Source organism: Homo sapiens, chromosome 17 (genome assembly GCF_000001405.40).
Source record: "Homo sapiens chromosome 17, GRCh38.p14 Primary Assembly".
Classification (NCBI taxonomy): Eukaryota; Metazoa; Chordata; class Mammalia; order Primates; family Hominidae; genus Homo; species Homo sapiens.
In genome coordinates this window covers 36,869,977-36,896,967 of record NC_000017.11, presented here as the reverse complement: position 1 = coordinate 36,896,967, position 26,991 = coordinate 36,869,977, and the positions used below count along the sequence as shown (strand labels likewise).

Below are 26,991 nucleotides of genomic sequence, written 5' to 3'. Positions count from 1 at the left end.
AAGGCCCAACCTAGGAGACCCCTGAAAAATAAGGGCATATCTTATCACGTCTAATCCCTCCGGGGATATAGGAGGCTGAGTGTGCCATTGAAAGAGCCCTGGACCTGGAGCCCAAGCCCAGGGGTATAATCTTGGCAGAGCCATTGCTTCTGCCCTCTGGCGGATTCGTAGCAAGCCCCACTTCTCTGGACCTCAGCTTCCTCATTTGCAAAATGAAGGTATTGGGGATTAGAAAATGATACCCCACAGTTTGGCACTTTGACATGCTGAGTACTTTGAACTGGAGGACACTGGCGGGACCTCAGAAACAAAGTCTCTCTCTGACCTTCTCCTGGTCTTTTTTCTCCTGCTCCCTTTTCTCCCCCAGGGCAGGCCATGGAAACTAGAATTTCTCTTCTCCAAGACGGGTCATAGAAACTAGAAATATTACTCTACCCCTTCCCCTGCCTTTGTGTGTAGGAGGTGGCCATAAAGAAATTCTCTGACCTACCTTGTCTGGTAGTAGGTCATAAGACCCTCATTCCAGAAGGGGTCCTGCCCTATACCAGCGAGGAAGGAATGCTATGCAGAGAGGCCAAGAAGAATCTGAACAGACAGGCCTTGCTGGGCTCCCCCACTCAGTCTCTTACTGTTAAGTCACATCTTTTCTGTCTAATCACATTTCTATATGGCTGTCCCCTTCTTCATTGAACCTAAACGTAAAAATAGACAGTTTTCTCTGAGTCTTTGGGTTTTCATTTCTGAAGGCTCCTGTGTCACATCAAACTTTGCTTAAATACATTTAATGCTTTTCTCTTATTAACTTGGTTTTTGTTATAGAAATTTTGGCTGTGACCCTTATGATGGGGAGGAAAGGTATCATATCCTTTCTACCCCTTCAAAGATGCTATTATCTCCAGAACATACTGCTAAGGTTCTAGGATTCACTTTGTATGTCAATGTGTACTAGGCATGGCTACAGGACCTTCCACAATCCCACCCCTGGCAGACTCTTCAGTTTCATCTCCCATGATTCTACCACAGTTATCCCACTCCCTTGTACTCTACATATCTCTGCAGTTCTAATTTCTCTTTAGTTTAGCTTCTTGAACAAACCATCCATCCATCCATCCATGCAGCCATCCATCCACTCAACCAACCAACCAACCAACCAATCAGCCAGCCAGCAAACCAACCAACCAGCGAGCTTGTTAGAGTTAGAAAATGGAAGATGTAGGATGCTATGGCTGCCTTTAATTAGGGGGGCCATAGCTCTCTCTGAGGAGAGATAATTCTTTAAGGTGAGCCTTGAAGATTGAATAGAGAATAGTCAGGGATGAAGGGAAAGAACATTGCAGGCAAGTGGAACAGCATAGAGCGTGTTGTGAGTGAAAGAAGCTCGTAATGGAAAGTACACAGGCAGCAAAAGGGAGGAGAGCCCAGTGTGTGGCCAAATGTTGGTGGGAAGCAACATGATAACAATTCACTTGTCACCACGTTTACCTGGCAAACTCCTGTTCATCCTTAGAAACTCTGCTGAGACATCTCCTGTGAGAAGTGCCATCCCCAACCCCAGTTGATCACCCCTTCTTCTATACACTGCTTGTACTTCTGTAGGTGCACCTTTCCGCCAGCCCTATGATGACCTCTTGTCACGTTTGTCTTTTCTCTTAGATGTGTATTCCTTAGGGCATGAAGCTGTCTATAGTCGCAGCCTAGCACACATGGGTACTCAACAAATGCTCTCAGATGGAATTGGATCACATGGCGTGTATGCAACCATGAGAGAACTGTTTGTGTTTCAGGAAGGGGCAGGAGGAGAGGCAGGCATGTATATGGGTATCTCTGCGTTGGGACTGAAATTCAACAACATTTCCAGAGGGCTGTTTAGATTCACTGGACTGTGACAAGCTGCTGACCATTTTCTCAACACCAAGAAAAACTGGCTCTGCTGGAGGTGCGGAGCTGGCTGGGGCTGGGGCTGGGTTGCCTGTTTGCTTCTCCCCGATCTCTCCTTGATTTTTTGTTTCCTCCTCTACAAAGTGCACTTAGGGGTCCCCAGTTCTTCAGGACTCTTTGGCGGGGTAAGGTGGCAGACTGAGGCCATGGCCCCGACCTGGGTGCCCACTGGCCACTGGCCAAGCTGGCTTCCTCAGTGAAGATGCTGATCAATGGCGGCCCCAGGCTCCAGGCCAGAGGAGGTCCTTCTTTCTAATCCGTATCGACTGCCCCCTCCTTTGCCTGCAAATTTGTATCAGGCTGTTGTCTGCAGTGGTGATGGAGAGTGTTGGGTCCATTTCCAGTGATCCGTGAGGGGGATCAGAGGCCTCTGCGAGGCTGGCCTGGGGTGTGGGTCGAGGGGCAGCCCTACCTAGGAAAAAAAACCCTGAACCAGCTGGGAAGGAGCTGCTCCGCGTCCTTTACCTGCTTAAGCTCTGAGGGGGCTGGTCCTTCCCCAGGGCAAGAGAGGACAGGCAGTGGGTAGGGGAAGAAGAAAAAAGGACTCCTTACTCACACCATGTCACGTGCAGGCCAGGCACAGAGCAGAGGCCCTGTGCAGTTCCAGCTACCTCAAGATGTGATGTCCTCCACCCAGGCATTTCCATCAATTAACAAGCACGTAGCCCACCCTCATGCTTCAGGGCATGAGGAAGCCACGGGCGTGTGTGGAGAGCCTGCACTGCACAGGCTCCTGGCACAGTCACACTGAGTTCTCTCAAGAATCCTGGACAGATACTATTTAATATTACTCGTACCATTGAGGAGATGAGAAAACTGGGGCTCCAAAAGTGTCGGAAGCGTGCCTGAGAGCCTGAGCCTCTGCTCTCTTCTCTCTTGTTCTACCTGACTGGAAGGAGCCACCCCCTTAAGAGAGACAGGACACTTGGCTGGGCACAGTGGCTAATGCCTGTAATTCCAGCACTTTGGGAGGCCAAGGTGGGAGGATCACCAGAGGTCAGGAGTTTGAGACCAGCCTGGCCAACATGGCAAAACCCTGTCTCTACTAAAAATACAAAAATTAGCCAGGCATGGTGGTATGCGCATGTAATCCTAGCTACTCAGGAGGCTGAGTGAGGCAGGAGAATTGCTTGAACCTGGGAAGTGGAGGTTGCAGTGAGCTGAGATCGCACCACTGCACTTGAGCCTGGGCAACAGAGTGAGACTCTGTCTCAAAAAAAAAAAAAAAAAAAAGACAGGAAAAAAAGAGAGGACACTCATAACCGAAGATGTCAATGGCCATCGTGGCCAGGCCAGGCCTCCCTTTATGAACATGTGACCCACAGGCACCCCTTCCCCTGTGGCCATCTGGTCCATGGCAGGTTTGAGTCTCAGCTCTGCCATTTATCAGACCCTGGGCTTGTCACTGAAACCTTTTGAACCTGTCTCCCATCTGTAAAATGGGAAGAATACAGCCCATTTTCCTGGAGCGTAGGGAGGGTTCCCTGGAAGCTGTGAAGGGACACACAATGTTAGGAGTAGGAAAGGCTCCCGGTAATGCTTGCTCACTGATCCTGGGTGCAGACAAGGAATCAGGAGACACTTTGAGCAAACCAAAAGGCGTTCAGGCCAAAGAAACGATGGGCTGACTTCCAGCCCCATTCCCTGGGAGCTCTGGGCTGGGTGGGGCCCTCCTGGCCTGGCCACTCTCCACACAGGTGAGAAGGGTGGAAAGAGGAGTTAATGCATCACAGGGCTGGGCAGGAAGAGAGGATTTTTCATTTGAAAATGTTCTGAAATAATTCATATTTGCTTTGCAGGATGGTGTCCCTACTCTTTGCTTCTGAGGATGCCTTGGTTCTCTTCTTTCTCTTTCTCACCTCTGACCACTGACCCCCAGAAACTTGTGCCTTCTTCTAAGCCTTGGTGCAAGAATGAGGAGAGAAAAGCCCCTGCTCCATGGTCACTGTGGGTGGGATGGAAGAGAGGGGAATCAATTCTGTGCTTGGAGGCTTAGGTTAGGCCCAGAATGAGCTTTCCTGCAGCTTTCCTAAGGTCACAGATCGTTTAAGCTCTCGAGCCTCAGTTTTCTCATTTGTAAAATGAAGCTACATCTCCCAGACTTCTCTAGAGGAGACTTACAAGAGATAGGGCGTGTATGTTGCAGGTACTCATGGAGTGTTTGGAAATGAAAATGAAGAGTTGGAGTTTGGCTTGGGGAGAGGGTCAGGGTGGGGCAGGGGTGGGAGGGATAAGGGGACTGGTGTGTATAGGAGGGCTGGTGGGATGAGGGAGCAGGGGAGTGTTGAGGGCTGTAGAGAGACCCCTGGGCTGAGTCACAGGAGTAAGGGCAGATAGGGTGAAGTTTGGGGGTTGCTGAATGCCAAGCTGCCTTTGGACTTTGTCCTATGGGTTGGCCCTTTTCCCACACTGAGTCCTTTGTTCAAATGCAGTCCTGTTAGGAAGCCCAATAGGGCAAGTGGATGAAGGGCTGAACTGAGGCTGGGGTCCCAGAGTCCTGCTTTTCAACCCATCCTCATCACCCTCAATCCCAGGTGCTCCATGGACCTCGCAGAGCTACCCTGAGCACCTTCAAAAAGCCTCTGCATGGAGAATGAATCAGAGAAGGCTTTGCTGAAACTCCGCAGACTTCCAGGAGGCCCGAGAGAAGAGGGCTGGGGAACGGGGCTCGGTGCTTTTGTTCTCAGCGCCCCTCAGGGCTCCTGATCCTTGTTCCATTCACCAGTGATGATGCCATCTGCTGGAGGCTGGGTCCAGCTATCAGTTTTCCCTCTGGTCAGGTTGCCTTTGCATGGAGAACAGGGTACAAGAGTCACCAGGGAAGCCCTGGGAGATGCAAGCTGGGTGTCCCCTGACGGGTCCAGGTAAGGGAGTGTAGCAGTCTCACTGCTGGTTTCAAGGCTCAGAGGTGGATGCCTTGTGGGGTGCCTCAGCACATGCCAAGGGCCATCCTATCACTTGCCTTCCTTACCTGCTGCCATGGACATTCTCTGGGAGGGTTGCACACTTCCCTCTTTCACTCTGCTTCTCCACCTGGCTGGCTTCCACGTGTCAGGCCTCAGCTTGGGCATAGTTTCCTCCAGAACGCCTTCCTTGTCCCCCTCTGCCATGTCCTCACTGCCCTGGGCTAGCCTCGCTTGCAGCAAGGATCCCCATGTGCCGTAAGCATCTGCTCATTTGTCTCTTCTCTGCTAGGTTTTACATTTGAGGGTGGGGCATTCTATAGCCAGAGCCTCGCACAATGCCTAGTAGATGGCAGTGAATGAATGAAAGAGCCTTACTCCAACACGGGTGCAGGGAGAGACCAAATTCCATCTTACTCCACCATGGGTGCGGTGTGAGCTCTTCACATTTGAGGAATGACCTTCTAGAGAAAGGCTGGTGAATGGCATGAAGGCCCAGCCAGGGAGAGGTTGGGAGGAGAGCATAGTCACTGGGGTTCCAGGGCTGGGGTGGCCCAGTTCCACTCAGTACGTTTACCTCTTTTCATTCCTGCGTCTTCCCGGTGGGGGATTTGCCCTCCAGATCATACTAGCCCTGGGCATCGGACAGTGTCTGCTCTCCACTCTCCATGCCCACCTGTGCATGGGCGTATCCACCCAGGGGCATTAGGTAGATCTTTGTGTCCTTGGGTCTGAATGAACACGATGGGTACAGGGCTGCCTGGGAGTGTGTCCGAACACATGCACACATGGCACTAACAAACACGTGTGTCTTTGTGTATCCAGGTATGGGTGTGACACCTTTGCGTGTGCAGCTTTGTATGCAGAACATGTCCCAGCATGGTTTTGTATCTGTGAGTGTGTATGTGCTTGCACAGACATAAGTGTGCCCACTGGGGCAGGGTGGGGCCAGGTGTGTTCTGTCACCGTGCTCTGATTAGCCTTCACTTGGAAGCATTTAGGTGACAATTTACAGCTGCACCTGACCCTGGCCTCTCTGCCTCGTCCTGTGTGTGCTGCTACGGCTGCCCCCTGCCCCCTGGCCACATAACTGTGATTTATGGCTGGCCTGTGGGGAGCAGCCCCCTCCCCGCTGCCCACCTCTCTGCAGCTCCTGCACCAGATGGGCTGCCTGCTGCTCCCTGGAGCAGCCTTCGCCAGGGAGGGTGAGGCAAGACGACCCACCACCAGGCCCGGCTGGGACCCCTCCCTCGCCCACTGTTCACTCCCTTTCAGACAGTCCCTGTCATCCTGTCTTGGACTTGCTCATGGCTGTTGGGATTGTGAACTGAGATGAGAGGTCAGAGTCTGTGACACAGAACAGAAACCGCCCCCAGTCCCCCATTCATCTCCTCCCCAGACACAGACAGACAGACAGATGGACAGACACACAGATAAAGGTACCGATAGGTCCTCATACAGGGACTGCATGTGCATCTGGGCGTGTGAGCACACACACATACACACGCACACAGTGAGAGTTTGTGGGGGATCTGCATATGTGTGGGGGCTGGGAAGGAAGCCAGGCCCCCTGCAGCCAGGCCAAGCCTCCCCAGCTCCCCACCGGGTCTCTGCCTCCTTTCTCCTGTGCCTACAATCCCTGATGCCAAAGGGGATCTTCTCCAGCTCATGCCAATCCATTATGAAGGTCCACTCAACCAGCAAGGGCATTTCTGGGGGTGTCCCTGGGGTGGGCCCTTGGGGGCTGGGGCTCAACCTTGTACCCCCAGGCTGGCATTGCTGGAAGTGGGGAGTGGCAGAGGGGCTGTGTCAGGCTGAAGGTGAGCGCTGGAAACAAAAAGATTGGAGTAAATTATTATTCCCCCCATGGCTTTCCCAAGGAAAGTGGAAGCAGCAGCCTGAGGCCCGTTTTCCTATTTGATGGGGAGTCAGATAAATGGCAGGCAGCTTGCTCTGATAAGGCCTTGCTCTGGGCACAACCTCTCTCTCTGAAACCCTCTTACTATGCATAGAGGAAGGCTATCTGTGCAGCTGCACCTTGACACAAATATATCTGCACCCGAGATGAAGCAATTCCCCCAGAAATTACAGCAGGGGGATTGCATCTGAGGAGGGGGCCCTGGGGAGGGGTGAGGGCTGCAGGGGAGGGAGGGAAGAAGAGGCCTGGGACAGGCAGGGAGGAGGAGGGAGGCGGCTGGGAGGTTGGGAGTGGGAGCAAGAAGTCTAGAGGCTTGCACTGGGAAGGGGGCTCGGGAGCATCTTTGTATAAAATTTACGTTTTTCCCCATCAAGCAGCTTGCACAGAAATATTCTTTTTCCCCTGTATCGTCGTCTTAATAGGGACATTCTCACCACCACCCTCATCTTCCTCCTCCTGGCTCCACTGCTGCCCTGACCATATTCTCCCTGCTCACAGAATTAAAAGGAAAATACGTGTATGATCTTTACAATTAGTCGCCTGAATGGAGGAGCCTCAGCTGCCTTAGACATTTTCTTTTTTCTTTTTAAATGAAAATTTTGCATTTCTTTTTAATTAAAATTTTTTTTTTTTGCCTTAAGCTTCTCTTTACACATTGAAAAGACAGTGGGGATGGGGTTGTAATGTGATTTTAATAAATACGTGAATAAATAAATATTTTTGAAAAGATGGAGAACACAGAGTGCTGATTGGGTATTTGAAACACTTTTCCAACTTGTCTCATGTCTCTTGGCTTCATGACAGTGTGTGTGTGCACGCGTGCACATGTATGCATGTATGTCTGCAAAACTGTGCATGAATATCCCTGTGTGGGGGGGAATGTGTTCTCATGTTCTCTCACACACACACCTAGTCTGACAATACCCCAGGCTCTCTCTCTCCCCTTCCAGCAGTGTTTTGCTCATCTCTGTGATGAGCCTCTCCCCTTCCCAGGGTGAAGAACTGGAGGCTCCAGCCTCTCAGGAGGCCTGCAGAAAACTCTCTGGTCCCAGAAGAGAAGCTTGAGTAAAGAGACATCCCATCAGGCACAAGGGTCCCCTATCTCCTGCCAGACAGCCCCTCCCCCCAGCTCCTCCTTGGCTGGGCAAAGGTGCTCAAGTGTGATGGCAGCGGAACTCGGCAGGACAAGCGCTTGGGGAAGGGGTAGTAGAGTCATGGGGAATGTGGGTCTCATCCCCCAAACCCTAGGTCTTGGAGGGACAAGGTGGGCTTGTTGGGGTGGGGAAGGGTGGCAGGAGACACTGCATTTACACGTGAGGGTGAGGGGAAGAAGTGGAGTTTGAGTGCATGTTGAGGGCGCTCATGCCCCTCCCTCCCCAAACTGGCACCTGCCTTGGGTCTGACTGTCGGAGCAGCTGCAAGACACAAGAGTCAGCGACAGATGCCACAGCCCCAGCCTTTGTCTGAGCAAGAGAAAAATCACACCCTCCCCTTAAGCCCCTGGGGCAGCTGAAGCTGGGAGGCTTTAGTCATCTCACCCCTCAACTCCATCGCCAACCCTGGAGAGCAACAGGGGCCTTTTTCTTGTCTCCCAACTTTGGGGAATTTGAGCAGTGATGGGAAAGATGCAGGAAAGTGAAGGTTTGGGGGAGAGATCCCTTGAACCTGTCTGCCTAAACTGCGTGACACACTCCCAGAACCCACTTAGGCTGGGGGTGGGGTGTGTTCTGCCACATCAACCTAGATCAGCTGGAAAAGGGCTGAGCTGGCAGGTGGGGATCAGGCTTCTAGTTTCATCTCTGCCACTTCTCTGCGGCCACCTACTTACTCTTCTGGGCCTTGCTTTTCTCAGCTGTAAAATGTGGGGAAGCAATCACTCAAATGACAGATGCAATAGTAACATGGATAACTGTGGATTTTAGACACATATCAAGCCAAGGAGTGAGAACGTGACTGGTTGTGACTATATCTCACTTGCTACTGGTTTGGGCTGAGTCTGGAAGAGCCAGAGGCCTGGTCTCCCTGCAGGAAATAATCCCTGGAAAGTAAGTAGCCTCTTCCAGGCTGCTGGGATCTTTTGGACTCATTTGCAAGCTGTCTCTGGAGATTGGCTACAGAAGTCCAAGGGGAACTCCAAGAGGAACTACTGTGGATAACCAGGCTGGGGTGTGTTGGGGCAGATGCCCAAATTTTCTGCAGTGGAGGACTTAGCCAGAGTAGGGACCCTGGGAACTGTCACCCCTTTAGAGCAAATAGTAGAAAAGCTCCAAGGGAAGCCTAGAAGTCACAAATAGGTGTCCTATTGATCTTCATATTGGCAAGCTGGTGTCTACACTGGGACATGAACTCCCATCCATTTCTATAGTGGGACTTTGGCTATCATTGATATCACATTGGAACATTGTTACCACCACTTTTGTATATCATTGACTGCCATTGATCCGGATATTTGGACAGTGCTCCCTACATTGGGACATCGATTTTCCTTAACCAACTCTGAATTGGGGCATTGATCTCTACATTGGGATGTTGACTTTCTTACCCATCTGTATGGTGGGGGGCATCAATTCCTCTCAACCAACTCTCCATTGGGACATTGATCCCCATATGAGATGCTGATGGCCTCAACCAAATCTTCACTGGGGTATTGATTTCTACACTGGAACTCCCTTTCCTGTCCAACTCTGGATTGGGACATTGATCCCGCATTGGGACATAGATTTATTCCTCTCTCTCAGTATCTGGGCATTATCCCCCACCCAGCCGGGAACAAGGATGCTGATTTTTATTTTAGGGCTTCAGTTCATTCATTCCACCAATCATTCATTTCTTATAGCTACTGTGTGTCAGTTTTGTGCTAATGGTTGGGAACTCTGTTTTTCTTTTCTTTCCTACCATTGATCCCTATGTGAAGACCCCAATTCTCTTCAGTCTTCATATTTGAACACTGATACATACCTCCCGCATCTATCACCCCCTTCAGCCTCCCCTACTGACTTCAACTAAGGTCTCTGTTCATGAGTTGAAGTTGGGAGCCATATTGGAAAGTGCACAGTCTTTGGAGTCATGAGTTTGAATTTTGAGCTTTGCCACTTGCCAGCCTCACTTTCCTCTTCTTTCTTTCTCTCTCTCTTTCTCCTTCCTTCCTTCCTTTCCTGCCTTCCTTCCTTCCTTTTCTTTCTTTTTTCTCTTTCTCTTTTCTTTTTTCTTTCTCTTTTTCTTTCTTCCTTTCTTTTCTTTTCTTTCTTCTTTCTTTCTTTCTTTCTTTCTTTCTTTCTTTCTTTCTTTCTTTCTTTCGAGACAGAGTCTCAATTTGTCACCTATGATGGAGTGCAGTGGCTTGATCTCTGCTCACTGCAAACTCTGTCTCCCAGGTTCAAGCAATTCTTGTGCCTCAGCCTCCTGAGTAGCTGGGATTACAGGTGTGCACCACCACGCCCAGATAATTTTTGTATTTTTAGTAGAGACGGGGTTTCACCATGTTGGCCAGGCTAGTCTTGAACTCCTGGCCTCAAGTGATCCAACCACGTCAGCCTCCCAAAGTGTCTTCATCTTTCAAGTGAAGACAAAGATACCTACTTTTCAGGCTTTCTGTGCAAATGAGAGCACTGAATGGGACCCAGACATAGAGAGCACCATCCTTCATAGCAAGGCTTTCCCTTCCTTGTTCTCTTCCCCCAGTCCGGGGAGATAGCTCTGAACTTGGCATATCCATGTGCCCCCCACATCACATACTGCTGAGGGGGTGAGACCCTCCCTCTCCTCAAATGCCATGGGCAGCATACCTCATGAAGTAAGTCCCTCACAACATTTCAGACCTAGCTCTCATTTTTTAAAATCCATATTATATAGATAGCAATGAGGAGAGCAACTTTTCTACCCCGAGCCTGTGTGTAATTACATATTTTGGCCGCGTGCTGGGCCTGGGATGAATCTGTATGGTAATGCAGGCCAGGGGCTTACGACGTAGGCACACATGCTAATTTTTAAACCACAAAATCGCGGCTGTTTTTCATTTTCATTTCCGACAACACTGGCGGAGATTAGGTCCTATTAAGCACCATGGGGCCTGACCTCCCCCTGGCCACCTGCAGGGCTCCTTGTGGCTTTTGTGGGCTCTTTGGGCCTGGCGCTGAGGCAAACACATCCTTCTTAATTGTGGGACAAAGCTCTGTCCAGCGGGAGGTGCCCAGGTTGGCAGACCAAGGCTGTCTTCTCTCGTCGTCCCCACCCAGGCTAGGGCTAGGTCCCACGCCCGTCCGGGGAGGAACTCGGAGCCTGCGGTGCCCAGGATAATTGAAATTCCAGGCTGTGCCTCTCCTCGTGGACAAGTAAAGTAGGCCCTCGCCCATCTGCAGAGCCCCGAGATGTCCTTAGGGGCCTGGAGAGCAAGGACTCAGGTCACTGAGCTGTCTGTTCAGTCCTAGCCCAGCTCAAGTGACCTTGTGCAAGTCACTTTTCTTCCCTGGGCCTTCGTCTTCCGTCTGTCAAGTCCATGAAATGTAAACTGGGTGATCTGAAAACACTTTGCATTTGAGCTACCTGTCCCCTGCCGAGAGGCAGACAGAGCAGTGATGACAGCAGCTCTCATTTGTTACACACGCATCGTGGGTAAACTATACATGTTCATTATCTCATTTAATCTTCCCCTCGACTCCCCGAGGTGACAGCGTGTTAAACAAAAATCCCATTTTCACCACTCACTGGCCGGATGATCTGTTTTCTCATCTGTAAAACGGGGGAGTAACTGATAACAGTGCTGCCGGATAAGGTATTATCACGATGGAATGAATTGCTGCAGAGTACACAAGACACTTAGAACAACACCAGGCCCAGGGTTGCTATCATTATTATTACAGATAAGGAGATGGAGGCTGAGGAAAGGATAAGGAACTCACTCAAAGCCACCCGGTTAGAACCCAAACCGCAACCCACGAGCCTCGTATCTCCCACTGGAGGCTTTGCCGCCTCCAACTCTTCCTGGCACAAAAGCTTCTCTATCCATCCAGAGAAGCAGCGTCAGGCCCTGCTTCCCTTTAGTCGTCATTTCTCAGTACTGAGCAAAAATGGCAGCAGAAAGACGCAGAGATAAGCAGAGAGATGCTGAGGGGCCCCCTGAATGGGTGTCTGGTCGGGCTGCCACCCCAGCCTTGACTCCTAGGGGTGCTTGGGCACAAGTGAGCCAGTCCAGGCTAGCCCATCGCTGGGGTCCGGCAGGCCCTCTGCTTGTCGGAGGAGAGCTGAGGGTGAGGAGGGGCCCGGGAGGAAGAGCTGAGCCCCTCCCCCTTCCATTCTGTCTCCATCTGCACCCAGAAGCAGCTGAGCGTGGAGCGGGGCCACCCCTCCCGCTCCCGCCCCCTTGCCTTCTCCCCTCCTGGGCGGGGGCTGCCCCGTCTCTGGGGGGGAGCCTGGTCTGTGCTCAATTTCATGCCACTTAATTCACAAGTCTGCCCGTGAAAATGGCGACAAATCGGCCCCAACTGCCCAAATGTCCCGTCCCATCTCGGACGTCTCTCCTGCAGCCCCCACTGCTCCTCCGTCTGACAACCCCTCACCCATCATACTGGAGGGGGAGCGGGCCCTGGTGGCAGCCAGCCGAGGGCCCTGCCGCTGACTTAGACGCCACACATATCCCTTCTGCAGCGGAACCAGGCCCCAACGGGGGCTACCGCCGAGACTCCAGGTGACCCTCCAGTACATGGTCAGAGGCTGGGGACTGTTTTAGTTTGGATTTTAATGTGACTGTGTAATGTTTATTTTTAAATTTACTTTCTTTTAAGAACAATTTAGTTTATTTTTTTTGAATACGTAGCACATTCACATGATTCAAATTTCAAAAAGTGGCCAGGCACGGTGGCTCACGCCTGTAATCCCAGCACTTTGGGAGGCTGAGGCTGGTGAATCACTTCAGGTCGGGAGTTCAGGACCAGCCTGGCCAACATGGTGAAACCCTGTCTCTACTAAAAATACAAAAAATTGGCCGGGCATGGTGGCACACGCCTGTAATCTCAGCTATTCAGGAGGCTGAAGCGGAGAATCGCTTGAACCCTGGAGGCGGAGGTTGCAGAGAGCTGAGATAGTGCCACTGCACTCCAGCCTGGGCAACAGAGCGAGACTCCATCTCAAAGACAAACAAACAAAAACAGGCCTGGCTTGGTGGCTCATGCCCGTAATTGCAGCACTTTGGGAGGTCAAAGCAGGCGGATCACTTGAGGTCAGGAGTTCCAGACCAGCCTGGCCAACACGGTGAAACCCCGTCTCTACTAAAAATACAAAAATTAGCCAGACGTGGTGGCGGGCACCTGTAATCCCAGCTACTCGGGAGGTTGAGGCAGGAGAATCACTTGAACCCGGGAGACGGAGGTTGCAGTGAACCGAGACCATGCCACTGCACTCCAGCCTGAGCGACAGAGCAAGACTCCATCTCAAAACAACAACAACAACAAATTTCAAAAAGCATAAAAGAGAGGGTGGAATGTCTCCCTCTACCTCTACCCCGGTGTCCTGGTTCTCTCTTTCAACTCCCAGTTCCTATCCCAAGGGGAACCAATGTCCCCAGATTCTTGGGTGTCCTTCCAGAGACCTTATATCCAAGAATAAACAAATATGTATAGTCTTTCCTGCCTCTGCCACAAATGATGACGTGCTGTACACACTGACTGCACCTCACTGGTCTCACCTGTATGTCCCGGTGACCAGAGCCTCCTCACTCCACCCCCACCCTCCCACCACAGAGGCTGTTTGAAGTTCTCTCTCCTCTCCCTTCACCTGCCCACCAAAAGGGCTTTGAAGCCACAGAGTCCAGAATTCAAGTCCTACCAGCTCCAACTATTCTCTGGGTGACCTTGACGAGTTCATTTCCTCTTGGGCCTCAGTCTCCAATTCAGTAAAATGGGAATATTCATGTATACCCACCTCGCAAGACTATTGGTGGGAGGGCGGGTAGTAAAGAAGATACTGGGCAAGGTGCGGTGGCTCATGCCTGTAATTCCAGCACTTTGGGAGGCTGAGGCGGGCAGATCACCTGAGGTCAGGATTTCGAGACCAGCCTGGCCAACATGGAGAAACCTCATCTCTACTAAAAATACAAAATTAGCTGGGCGTGGTGGTGCATGCCTGTAATCCTAGCTATTTGAGAGGCTGAGGCAGGAGAATCACTTGAACCCGGGAGGTGGAGGTTGTGGTGAGCTGAGATCACGCCATTGCACTCCAGCCTGGGGAACAAGAGCGAAACTCCATCTCAAAAATAAAAGAAGATACTGGATACAAAGTGAGGAGGTGAAGTGTAGCTGCTCCCTCCTCTCCCCGTTCCTCTCTGTCCCCCCATCAGGGGAATACCTACTCATTCTTCAAGCCCCGGTTCAAAGTCGCCTCCTCCTGATGCCCACCTGCTGCAGGAATTGAACCTCCACTTTGCATCTATAGTGCTTCAGACCAGCCTTGAGGAGAATGTCACTGTGGTGTGGTGTAGCCATCTATACTTGTCCTCCTCCTACAAGGCTGTGAGCCACTTGAAGGCTTCTGATGAAGCAGGAACAAAAATATTAAGATGTGAATATTTACAGCCTTTCTTCTCCTGCCATGTTCCCACATCTGAGCTGATCAAGGTGATACAAAGTGGAAGATGCTTCACTGAAGAAAGAGCATAAAGTTAGCAGCAAAAGCTGGATCAGAATAGAATCGATCCAGTCAACTAGAGGTGGAGGCAAGAGAGAGCAGAGCTGGAGTTTTAGGAGAGAAAAAGGAAAAAGAAAAAAGGGGGTGGGGAGTGTAGTGACCTATGGCACTTTGGGGAAAGGCAGGCCTGAAGAGGATTTGGAGAGAGTTTCTGTCTGTTGTACGACATAGTTGCTTTTCCCACCTTGCCGCTTGTTTGGGAGTTTTGCAAAGGCTTCATTGCCAATCAATGCTTTTGGAGACTATCAGGGTTTCTTCTGGATGTGACCCAGGCTTCAAATGGCCTAAGATTTGTTCAGGTTGCATTGTACATTTTGGGCCCAGCTCAGCAGGTATGCAGAATAATACAAAGATGAGACAAAAGAGCAGGTGGAGGGACAGGAGGAGGAGTGCACACAGGCTGTGGCTCTCTGTCCCTCTCTGGGCAGACCACCATGGTGGACAATGCTCATGTGTTCATGACAACTTGTTCCCCAGGGAGCCCCAGATTTTGATGAACCATCTCCCCAGGTCCCGCCTCTCCCAAATTGTGGATAAATAAAGCCCTAAGATTTTTAATAGGCACAACCATTGAGGATGTATCAGAAATACTCCCTCTCTGTGGTTTTGGTGCAGACAGGAGGGGATGGGTGTTGGGTGTGATTCTCTTTCAGCCTTTCTTTCTTCCCCTCTCAAGAAAGCTTATCAGGAAGCACACAAGCACAATACTTCTAGATAAATATTACTTCATTTGACTCCTTCTAGGAATCTTGTGAGGTGGGATTAATGTTCTTATTTTAATTTCAACTTCCAATTGTTTATTATCAGCATGTAGAGATATAATTTATTTTTGAATATTGACCTATTATGAAATTTTACTGAACTTAATACTTCTAGTTTTATTTTTGATTGATTCTTAGAGTTTTCTATGAAGACAATCATGTTGTCTGTGAATAAAGATGGTTTCTATTTTTCCTTTCCAATCTGTATGTCTTTTATTTCTTTTTCTTGTCTTATTGCACTGGGCAGGATCTCCAGGTCAGTGTGAAATAGGAGTGATAAGAGCAGACATACTTGCCCTTTTTCTGATCTTAGGGGGAACTATGTCTCCATTTTATAGTTGAGAAAATTGAGCCACAGAGATGTTCAGCCACATGCCCAAGGGACCCCAGCTAGTGACTGCCAGTGCCAAAATCAGAACTCAGATCTGCCTGTCTCCAAAGCTTGTGCTCTTTCTACTGCTTCAAGCTTTGTTGTACAAAAGTATGGAGTTAAAATAATTTCCTCTTTGAAGCCCTCAGTTCTCCAACCAGGTCCAGGAATATAAACGGCTGCTTGGTGAACACTTGCTATTTGATTGGAAGTGGTGAGCTAGAGTGGAAGGCATGAGCTAGAGAGCAAGATGATGGGGTAATCTCCTGCCTTGATGTGGGGGTGCACAGTGAGGTTGGGGATGGAGGGATTTCCATTCCACTCTGCAGCCTGACGTCGGGAAGAATGGTCCCTTGGGTACAGAGAGGACAGCTCTTAGAGACAAATGTGGGATTCAGTTTAGAAGACTTTGAGGGGCAAAAGTGAGTGTGGGGCACAACTGGATCTTTAAGAGGAAGGACAAATGATAGATCAAAATGAGGACTGTGGAGACTGACTTTCCAGGCTTGAAGCCCAATTCTACCACCTACGAACCACGTGACCTTTGGGAGAGTTATTTAGCCTCCCTGTGCTTCAGTCTTCTCATCTGTAAAACAGGGATAATTGTGTTTCTACCTCACAAACTCATTGTGTGGGTTACATGAGTTAATACACAGTAAGCGGCCCTGGCAACCGCCATCTCAAGGTGAGTGATTATGATTTTTGATGAGTCACAGGACTGTCAGGGGGACTTCTAGAAGTTATAAGGGACTGTTCCTCCTCCTTCTTAGAAAACACACATACATCCTGATCAAGCCCCTCCAATTGTAGGTAGAGAAAGACGTGTCTCTCCCAAGTGGCCAAGTTACTTAATTTCTCTGAGCCTCTGTTTCTTCAGGAATGAAATGGGATAATGAGCCTTATCTCACACTGTGAAGAGACAAGCAGATAAGGCATGGGAAAGCACTGTCAATACTTGGTAACAGTAAAAATTGTGACAACTTCCAAGTGCCTCCTCTCTGCAAGGCAACTAACTGAGGGTGCTTAATCTGTGTGTATGTCCCTGTGAGGTAGATTGGCTGTTCTACTTTCTACATGAGGACACTAAGCCCCAGAAATCAAATGACATACGGGCCATCAGCCAGGTTTGAGCCCAGGTAGGCCGATCTCCAAAGCCTGGATCTTTATTATTTTTGTACAATTCTCCTTCCGGGACCAAGGGGCCTGAGCTGCAGCATCTGGGTACAGGTGCCCCCTCCCCCAGGCATCCCCTCCCAGGCCTTCCCCTTGGTGAGGGCTGCCCTTCAGTCACTCCCTTGTCCAGCCAAATGCGGGCGGGCGGCTGGCGGCTTTGGTGCATGAGGCAGATGGGACCTTCACAAAAGCCCCCGCACCTCTCCAAGCTGGTCCCCCCCACACGCCTGATTACCCCCCAATACCCAAGTTACCATTGATACAGTGGTGCCGGGTGATTCAATTAGTGCAGCCGGCATGAAGGCAGCAGCACAAAGAGCTGGGGTAGTTAGAAACTCATTTTCTTTTGATTATTATAGCATCTCACACGTGCAAGCAGAAAATTATAGGCTCATGTGTCTTTGCTTAATATCCTCTGGGGCCAGATTTGTCGTCATGTTGAAGTTAGCTGTCAGAATTGACAAAATCATGTGGAGTTGATGGATTTACAGTGCCGGGGCCCAGCCAAGCTGGAGAGGTGCAGACTTACACAGATACACAGACAGAGACACACACACAGACACAGCCGCACACTCCCATACACCCTGCGCAGACACACATACGCCCTACTTTAAGATACTGATAGACACGCTCACAGTGATTTGTGCACAGATATGCACACTCCTCAAACGCTGAAACACACCCATTCAGACCTACACAGAGATACACACACATACTCCACACACTGACACCCCCGTACAGAGACACACATACTCATACCCAGCACACTAATATACGCTCACAAGTCTCACATAGGATACACATCCCCCCGCACCAACACACTCCTCCCAGACACAGATACACAAACACACCCCACATCCCATATACTGAGAAGATAGACACAATCATATGCACACACTCACCCTCCATGCTGATAACCCCTCTCTCCCAGATGCTGATACACCTAGACACCCACACACGCTGTCACACACCCACATAGGTGCATGCAGATACACATACCTACTTCTGACTCATCCCTTCCCAGGCACTCACCCCTCCACACTGATACACACTAACCTAGACACACTCAGATCTTCATACACCATTGATATGCACCCACGCAGACACACACTCAGATACACCCATAGATGCTATCATACACATGTTCAAACATACACACCCGATAGACTCCAGTCCAGACACACATGTACACAGACACAATCCCCTGCTTCACACACACACATTCAGAGCTATACACACATCCGTGCAGAGACAGGGGTTCACACACCCACACACACACAGAGCGGGAGACACACACAACTACAGCATGCACAGGCACGAAGTTACAGTGATACATTTCTACACACACGCAGATGCCCAGACAAGTACACCAACACATCCATGGACAGAGAGAGAGAGAGGGAGGGAGGGAGGGACGGAGACAGGACAGAGTCACAGATACAGAAAACAGAGAAACGCATTCACAGAGACATGGGGGCATGGGTGCAGCTCCCAGCTTCCACCTCTGTAGCCCCCTTTTCTTTTCCCTTCTTTCTCTCCTCATCCTCATCCTCCATTGGCCTGGCTAGGAGGGGAAGATTGTGGGGAACAATATGGAAATAGAAACACAGGGTGAGGACTGGGGCGCCCCCCACCTCTGAGTCAGTACACCCCAGCCCCTGGTTTCTGTTTGTTTGAGTGAATGGTAGCCAAAAGGGTGCTGGGGGTGGGGTTGGTGGTGAGGAGAGGTTGTGTGTTCAGAGGGAGAAGGTCTTGAACCTTCACTGAGCACCCCTTACTGTCCCCATTTTACAGAGCTGGAGACTGAGGCCCTCAGAAGGCAAGTTCCTCCCTGATGCCACACAGGGTGCTTTCACGGCAATTAACTAAAGAAGCCCCTTCCAGGCAGAGTGCACACTTTGGTGAGTGGACAAGGGCCACGTGTGTGGGGTACACCCTTACTCAGCAGCCGTGGAGACAGGATGGTTCTCCAAGGGGAATTCCTGGGAGAGGACAGGAAGGCTGGCTAGTGCCGGAAGATTCCAAGCCCACTGCCTTTCTTTATAGAGCTCCCCACCCCTGCCCACCAACGGGTAATGGGGCATCTGCTATGGGAGAGATGCTGGGGCTCATGCCCCAAGGTATCCCAGGCAGAGGGGCCACACTCAATGCTGTCTGTATGGTAGGATATTGCTGATGAGTCCAGACCAGACTCAGACAGGCTTGGACCCAGGCCCGGTGCATCATTTGGAAAGCCCTAGGTTCCCATCAGTGTTGCATCAGAGTAGAGGAGGAGCCTGTGGCAACCCTGCCAAAGCCCCGAAGAGGTGGGCGGGCTCTGATGAGTCCTAGAGCCTTTGAGCCTTGGCTCAGCCAACCTCCATTCCCTCAGAAGAGGAAAACCCTGCCCAAACTCCATGGCACACACATGAGACACCTGACCTCATCTCCTTCTCCCAGCAACCCTGTGAAGTTGGTCCTATCATCCCTATTGGCCAAGGAGGAGCCCGTCAGATGCTCAGCAAGGGCAATGACTTGCTTGAGGTTACAAGGCTCATAAAAGCCAGGATTTGAACCCAAGGCTGTTTGACTTCCAAGCCCTTGCTCACTCCCCTCCATCACGTGAGGCCGGCCTTCCTCTGGCATAGCAGGCCGGAGGGACCCTCTAGCTCAGTCAGGCCTTAGGGTCCAGGGCCAGCCACTAACTTCCTTGGATAAGCTTACCCCCAGGGCCCCTCCCCAGTGGGTGGGAGGCAATGGCCTGAGCTTTGGGGGTCAGACCCAGCTGGATTCAAATCCCAACTCTACAACCTTGGGGAAATCACTTTGCCTCTCTGAGCCTAACTTCCTCATCTGTCAAATTGGGATTAAAAATAACCCCATTTAAGAGTCACAGAGAATACATGTGCAGGGCTTAGTCCACAGCGGGTATTTCACACATCATAGCTGGTTTTTGTGGTTCAAGGCTCCCCAGCACACCCAGTGCGGTGTCTTCAGTCCATTCCCAAGCTGGGTTACTCAGTCCATTTTTTTGCTCTTCCCTGCCTCTTCCATAGCCCTTGCCCTGGCTCCGGCCCAGGCCTCTGGCTTCTGAGGGTCTTAGGGCCTGAGTGTCCCTGGAGACTTGGAATAGATCCATGGACTTCTCAGGATTCCAGCCACCATTCAAGTCAGGGGCTCTCATTCCTGGCTGTACATTAGAATCGTTGTTTTTTTCACCAAAAAAAAAAAAAAAAAAAATTCCAGTGTTCAGGCTGTTCTTGCAAAGGTTCTAATTGAATTGGTTTGGAGTGAGCCCCAGGCATTGGTCTGCTTTTTATGCTCCCCAGGCGACTAGGGTGCAACCAGAGGTGAGAACCACAGAGCCAGGACCTCTAAAGTGTGGCCTGTGGACTGGCAGCATTGGCATCAGCTGGGAGCTTCTTAGAAATGCAGAACCTGGCCGGGTGCGGTGGCTTACGCCTGTAATCCCAGCACTTTGGGAGGCCGAGGCGGGTAGATCACGAGGTCAGGAGATTGAGACCATCCTGGCTAACACAGTGAAATCCTGTCTCTACTAAAAATACAAAAAATTAGCCGGGCATGGTTGCGGGCACCTGTAGTCCCAGCTACTCGGGAGGCTAAGGCAGGAGAGTTGCTTGAACCTGGGAGGTGGAGGTTGCAGTGAGCCAAGATTGTGCCACTGCACTCCAACCTGGGCGACAGAGCGAGACTCCGTCTCAGAAAAAAAAAAAAAAAAAAAAAAAAAACCAGGTGCGGTGGCTCATGCCTGTAATCCCAGCACTTTGGGAGGATCACCTGAGGTCAGGATTCGAGACCAGCCTGGCCAACATGGTGAAAAACCATCTCTACTTAAAATACAAAAATTAGCCGAGTGTGGTGGCAGGCACCTGTAATCCCAGCTACTTGGGAGGCTGAGGCATGAGAATCGCTTGAACCTGGGAGGCAGAGGTTGCAGTGAGCCAAGACTGTGCCATTATACTCTAGCCGGGGCAATAGGAGTGAAACTTTGTCTCAAAAAAAAAAAAAAAGGCAGAATCTCACCCAGACCCCCCAGATCAGAGCCTGCATCTGAGGAGGATCTCCAGGGCTTCATACTCATATTAAAGCTTGATCGGCCCTGCTCTGGCCCAGGCAGCTTCGATGGACACTGTGGGAACAAGGCTCCAGTTAGTCTTTACTGATGGTGGCGACGTGTCCTCTTCTCCAAAGACGACCACTGGGGCTGGGACATCTCCAACCCACCTCTCTGAGGGGGATTCCTGGTGACCTCTGCTCCTCCTGCCTCCTCCATCTGGGTCTGGTCTTGGAGATATGCTAATCAGTGTGGGAGTCCACCCTTCACATAATTATCATATACAAGAGGCTCCTCATCTCAGGGTAATTTTCTCATCTGCATAATTGTCTTCGACTTCCTTACAGATGGAAAAACCCCTTTACCTTGGGCGAGTTAATCTTCATTGATTGAATATCAAATTCATTCGAATGAGGGAGAAGAGACTTTGCTTTCTCAGCAGCAGAACCCTCTGAGGCTGAAAGCCGTGCTCAGCTGGGGGCCGAGGGGCCTTCACTTTGTCCCTGTCCTTGCCCGGCTTGTCAACGGCCCCCTCCCCTTCCCCTCTGACTCACTTTCTCCATGGCTGCACCTTTCCACTTCTGCTTCTCTCTTTCTTGCTTTTTCTCTGTTTTGTCTTCATCTTTCTGTCTCTGTTGTGTTCCTTAGTGTCTTGGTCTTTGGTTCTGTTTGTGGTTGTTGTTGTTTTGAGACAGGGTCTTGCTCTATCGCCCAGCCTGGAGTGCAGTGACATGATCACAACTCACTGTAGCCTCAACCTCCTGGGCTCAAGCAATCTTCCCACCTTAGCTGGGAGTAGCTGGGAATACAGGCATGTGCCACCATGCCCGGCTAAATGTTGGTCTCAAACTCCTGGGCTCAAGCAGTCTGCCCTCCTTGGCCTGCCAAAGTGCCGGGTTTACAGGTGTGAGCCACCCTGCCTGGCCAGCTCTGTTTTTAAATTTTCCTGTCTTACCTTTGTTTCCTTTCTTTCCTTGTCATTCCATCCCTTCCCTATCTCTCCAAGTCTCAGACTCTTTATTTTATATTTTATTATTATTATACTTTAAGTTTTAGGGTACATGTGCACAACGTGCAGGTTTGTTACATATGTATACATGCGCCCTGTTGGTGTGCTGCACCCATCAGACTCTTTCTTTACTTGAAACCCCAAGTGTCTCAGCTATGTCCCCACTCACAACTTGGTGAAAGAAAAAAAAATCCAGTGTGAACTCATTGCAGAAGCAGCTGAGATTCTTGGGGAGACAGAGGGCCTCAGCAGCGGTGGAGGTGGGGATAGGAGGGAGGAGGACAGGATGTCCTGGGACTGTGATGCCCTGGATCCCAGGTCCTGGCTGGGAGGCCCATCCTTAGGTTAGAAAATGTAAGACCTAACCAATAAGAAATGTTGTAGGTCTTCACAACCACCCTGAGAGTGGTATTTTCCTATTTTCAAACAGGGATATGATCAACATGTCCAAGTCCCATGAGTAATGGCAGGACCAGGACTCGAACCCAGGCCTGTTTAACCCTGGAGACGGCCCATGATTATTCAGGAGGAGGCTGAGGCCAGGCCTTCTGCTCTCAGTAGGCCTTGAAGCAGGTGAATGAATCAGCTTAAGTCTAGAACCTGTCATTTCTCCTCAATCCTCTCCCCTGTCTTAAGAATGAGCCCTAAGGGGTCATCTGGGTTCAGGCCATGGGAGGAATTTTCAGGGACTTTAGACAAGAGAGGACACAGGATTGCTTCTCCCTCTGGGGCCCTGGGCTTGTATTACTTTATTTTTTTTGTTTTGTTTTGTTTTGTTTTTTTGAGACAGAGTCTTGCTCTGTCACTTAGGCTGGAGTGCAATGGCACGATCTTGGCTCACTGCAACTTCCGCCTCCTGGGTTCAAGCGATTCTTGTGCCTTAGCCTCCCAAGTAGCTGGGATTACATGCACCCATCACCATGCCTGACTAATTTTTCTATTTTTTTTTTTTAGTACAGACAGGGTTTCACCATGTTGGCCAGGCTGGTCTTGAACTCCTGGCCTCAAGTGATCCGCCTATCTTGGCCTCCCAAAGTGCTGGGATTACAGGTGTGAGCCACTGCGCCAGGACTCACTTTGTCTTTGAAGGGCAGGAAACAGACTTCCCAGTTTCATCTCTGTGGAGGGATTTATGCCTGAGGCTAAGCCCTGCAGAACTTGGGGCATAGACTTTAGACTTTTTGGTTGTTTACCAGTTTATCCATAAATCCATGTCTTTGCTGGGCACTTTCTATGTTGTAAGGCACTGGTGATACAAAACTTGATGGGCCACAAGTCCAGCCCCAGAGGACTCCACAGTCTGGTCAGACAATCAGATATAGGAACAAATAATTACAATGCACTCTGATAAGTGCATCTGTGGAGGTTTCTGTGGGTGCAACGTCCTCTGCTACAGAAAGGGAAGATTTCAGTGAGGAGGTAATATGGAAAACGGGTCTTGAAAGCTGAATCAACATTTTCTAAAGAGAAGAGCGGGATAGTGTTCCAGACAGAGGGTCAGCCATGTAAACACCCACGAGTATGAAGACCATGCTGTGTCAGGGAATAGAGCAGTTCTGTGATTGAACACATTTTCTTTTTAAAGGTGGGGGTGGGAGATGGGACTGGAAAGGTGGCGGAACCCAGATTGTGAAAGGTCTTATAGACCTTGGCCAGGAGTTTAAGCTTTATTCTTCAGATGGAGGAAACCATTTAGAAGGATGAGCCCATTTAGAAGTATGAACCAGGGCCGGCTGCAGTGGCTCATGCCTGTAATCCCAGCACTTTGGGAGGCCGAAGTGGGCTGATCACCTGAGGTCAGGAGTTTGAGATCAGCCTGGCCAACATGGCACAACCCTGTCTCTACTAAAAATAAAAAGAATTAGCTGGGTGTGATGGTGCATGCCTGTTAGCCCCAGCAACTTGGGAGGCTGAGGCATGAGAATCACTTGAACCCAGGACATGGAGGTTGCAGTGAGCCAAGATTGCCACTCCATTCCATCCTGGGTGACAGAGTGAGACTCTGTCTTAAAAAAAAAGAAAAAAAATTATGAACCAGGAGTGAATATATTATTCTTTAGGTAAGCCTGGCTGCTGTAATAAGTAAACCGCCAAATTTCAGTGGCTTCCCCCAAAAGGTGTCCTTCTTACTTACACAGCAGTCCAATATGGGTGCTCCAGATTGCTGGGTCACTTCTTCCACATGGTGATTCAGGACGCACCAGCCTCCTTACACCCCCGTCTTAGTCAATTTGGGCTGTGATAACAACCAACCCTAGATAGACTGGGTGACTTAAACAACAAACATTTATTTCTGATAGTTCTGGGGGCTGGGAAGTCCAAGATCAAGCTGCTGTGGATCTGGTGTCTGTTAAGGGCCCATTTCCTGGTTTGCAGACAGCTGTCTTCTCATTGTATCCTCACACGCAGAGAGCAGAGTGGGACAGGGGAGACTGTGTCTCCTCTTTTCATAAGGGCAATATTCCCGTTCATGAGGGCCTCACCCTCATGACCTGATATCTACCCATAATTACCTCTCAAAGGGCCCGCCTCCAGATACTATCACATTGGGTTAGGATTTCAACATAGGAATTTTGAATTTGATTATGAATATTAATTACAAATATCAATTTTTTGGGGGGAGGCACAAACTTCAGTCCACAACACCCCTAAGAGTGAGGAATCTTGGAAGGTCTTGGAATCCCCCACTTCCAGCTGGTGGACAAGGAAAGAGAGAGGGTGGAGAAGGTACAGTTGCTTCTTAATCACTTGGCCCAGAAGCAACACACATCACTTCTGCCTGCATTCCACCCGCGAGAAGTAATTACACGGCCTCAAGCAGTTGCAAAGGGCTCTGGGAAATGTAGGACCTGGCAGGGTGGTGCCCTCCAGTGATATATGCCCCCTTTGAAAGGTGCAGCATGAACTTTTGGTGCACAGTTAGCTGCCTCTGCCACCGGTTGAGTTTTAGGACAGGACCTCTGTCAGTAGAGTAACAACGGACTATGAACGAAGGTTTGGAGGAGAAGCAACTAGAGAAGTCCCAGTAGGAGGCAGTTGCATTAGCCCAGAAGAGAGAGAATAGAGTCCTTGTACTTAAACTGCTTACTCTAGACAGCCCTTTCCTTGAGGGGCATTGTGGGGAAATAGAAGACTTCTACCTTCCCTACATTAGTATAGGACTTAGGCTGAGCCTATGGAGAAAAGGGTGGGGTGGGAGGTAGGGGATGGGGATGGAGATGGGAGCAGATTGGTGGACCTGGCTTCAAATCCTGGCTGCACTGTGTCCTCAGCCCATTACCTTGAGCAGTTTACTTGACCTCCAAGCCACAGTCTCCTCATCACTAAGACAGAGATGATAATGACACCTGGCTTACATGATCATTTTAAGTGCTTAGCAGACTGTCTGGAAAGTATCCAATAAATGCTAGACAGTCTCATGAGTGTTGTTGTTATTCAAAGACAGTCTGGGGGTTCAAATTCTTGCTCAGATGCTTGAAATCTAAGTGAATTTAGATACAGGCTCTCTGAGCCTCAGTGGACTCATCTATAAAGTGGCGATAATAATAATAATAACTGTCTTGCAGGGCTGCTGTAAGGATTAGAGTTCTGCAACAGAAGACCTAGCACAGTGCCAAACACATTGTAGGAGCTCAGAAGATGTCAGCAATAGTTTTTATCTTACCACTATCACTAATGTTACTACCATTGATGTTATTCTCATCATCATTATAATTATCTCTGAGTGCTCAGCATCTAGTAGATGCTTGGTAAATATCAAATCAGTGGATGAATGACTACCTCTAGAAGCTCCTTTTATTCCTTCATTACAGGTCCTGGCTCCCTGACTTCATTTCTCCTATATATTTTATGCAGGATCTGCTTCATGGCAGAACAGAGTAATGGTTAAGAGCTGGGTTCTGGAGGGAGCAAGATGTGATTGTGTGTCTGTGTCCCAGCTCTGCCACCTGCTAGAGGTATGTAACCTCTCTGAGTCTCAGTCCCTCCATCTGTAGAATGGAATTCTCAACAGTACATGCCTCATGGAGTTGTAGGAGGTGTATCCAAGCTGATGCTTGTAATACAGCGCCCAGTGCTGTAAGCACCTGTAAGCACTCAGCGAAGATCATCCACCTTCCCTACATTAGCATGGGACTTTGGCTGAGCCTATGGAGAAGTGGGTGGGATGGGTGATAGGGGATGGGGATGGACATGGGAGCAGAGAAAGAAGGTGAGGCCAGGCTGTGAAGGCCTTGAATGCCAGGCTAGGTGGCTCTAACTGGGCCTTGCCTACTCTCTCAGGATCCTGGAAAGGGGCCCTGGTCTAAGGGCTCCGCCTGCAGACCCTTTGAGACAGAGCAAGGCTAGGGCACCCTACAGGGGCAGGCACACATCTTCTTTGGACTCAGCTGTCTCCAGCTGGAGTGGTGGGGAAAGGAAGGTCATTTGCAATTCAGATCTGGGGCAGATGGGAGGATGCCATAGATTGGTGGGGGGCGAGGGGGACACGAGTGGAGTCAGCTGCTTTACTTCTCACGCACATCCTCCGCCAGCCCTTCCTAGCCTGGCTGCAGCCCCTCAGAGCACAACCCAGGCTCAGGTCTGTCCCAGCCCACTTAGACACATGCTCTAAGTGCTTTACATAAGTGAACTGATAACCATATGAGGAAGATTATTTTACAGATAGCGAAAGTGAAGTCCAGAGAGGCAAAGCAACGTACCCAAGGTCACACAGCAGAGCTGCAGCTCACGTCAGGCTGCCGGGCTCTAGAGCCCATGCTGACTCATGCATTGCACCATCACAAAATTCCTCCCAGTTACAGCGCCTCCACCTTGTGGCCCAAAGACCCGGGAGGATGTTGTGTGAAGCGCATTGGACACACGTAGCCGAGTTTCTCCTGTGAACCTGCAGCTGGCCTGGGGGTATCTCCCACCTTCTTCACAGTCCATGCGGCTCCCCTGGGGCTGCTAGGCCACTTTAGCAGGGAAATCACAGACCCAGGCCCTTCCCACTCTCTGGGTCCTGAGTCTCTTGCCCCTCCTCTCCCCAGCTCCCCTGGGGCTGCTCTAGAACTGAGACCGTGCTGGCTGTGCCAGGTCAGCCACTGTGGGTCCCGCTCATCTTGCCCCTCCCAGCTCACCCTCCCTGGGGCCGACTGGGGCACTCTCTGCCCACAGGCTGATGGCCTGGGTGTCAGAAAAAGGCTGA

The 26,991-nt window shown here is 50.3% G+C and overlaps 1 long non-coding RNA gene across 1 annotated transcript in view, besides 2 other annotated features; it reads left to right on the top strand.

Moving 5' to 3' along the window:
- LHX1-DT (LHX1 divergent transcript) overlaps positions 1-26,991 on the top strand; it is a 74,988-nt gene that overhangs the window by 39,694 nt on the left and 8,303 nt on the right. The window lies entirely within an intron of this gene.
- Positions 5,806-6,100: a silencer, noted in NCBI's record as "tiled region #9746; K562 Repressive non-DNase unmatched - State 20:ReprD". NCBI's record gives its function as "represses a minimal TATA promoter and a strong SV40 promoter by Sharpr-MPRA in K562 cells {active_cell/tissue: K562}" and the evidence as "EXISTENCE:reporter gene assay evidence [ECO:0000049][PMID:27701403]".
- Positions 23,877-24,171: a silencer, noted in NCBI's record as "tiled region #13221; K562 Repressive DNase matched - State 9:DNaseU". NCBI's record gives its function as "represses a minimal TATA promoter and a strong SV40 promoter by Sharpr-MPRA in K562 cells {active_cell/tissue: K562}" and the evidence as "EXISTENCE:reporter gene assay evidence [ECO:0000049][PMID:27701403]".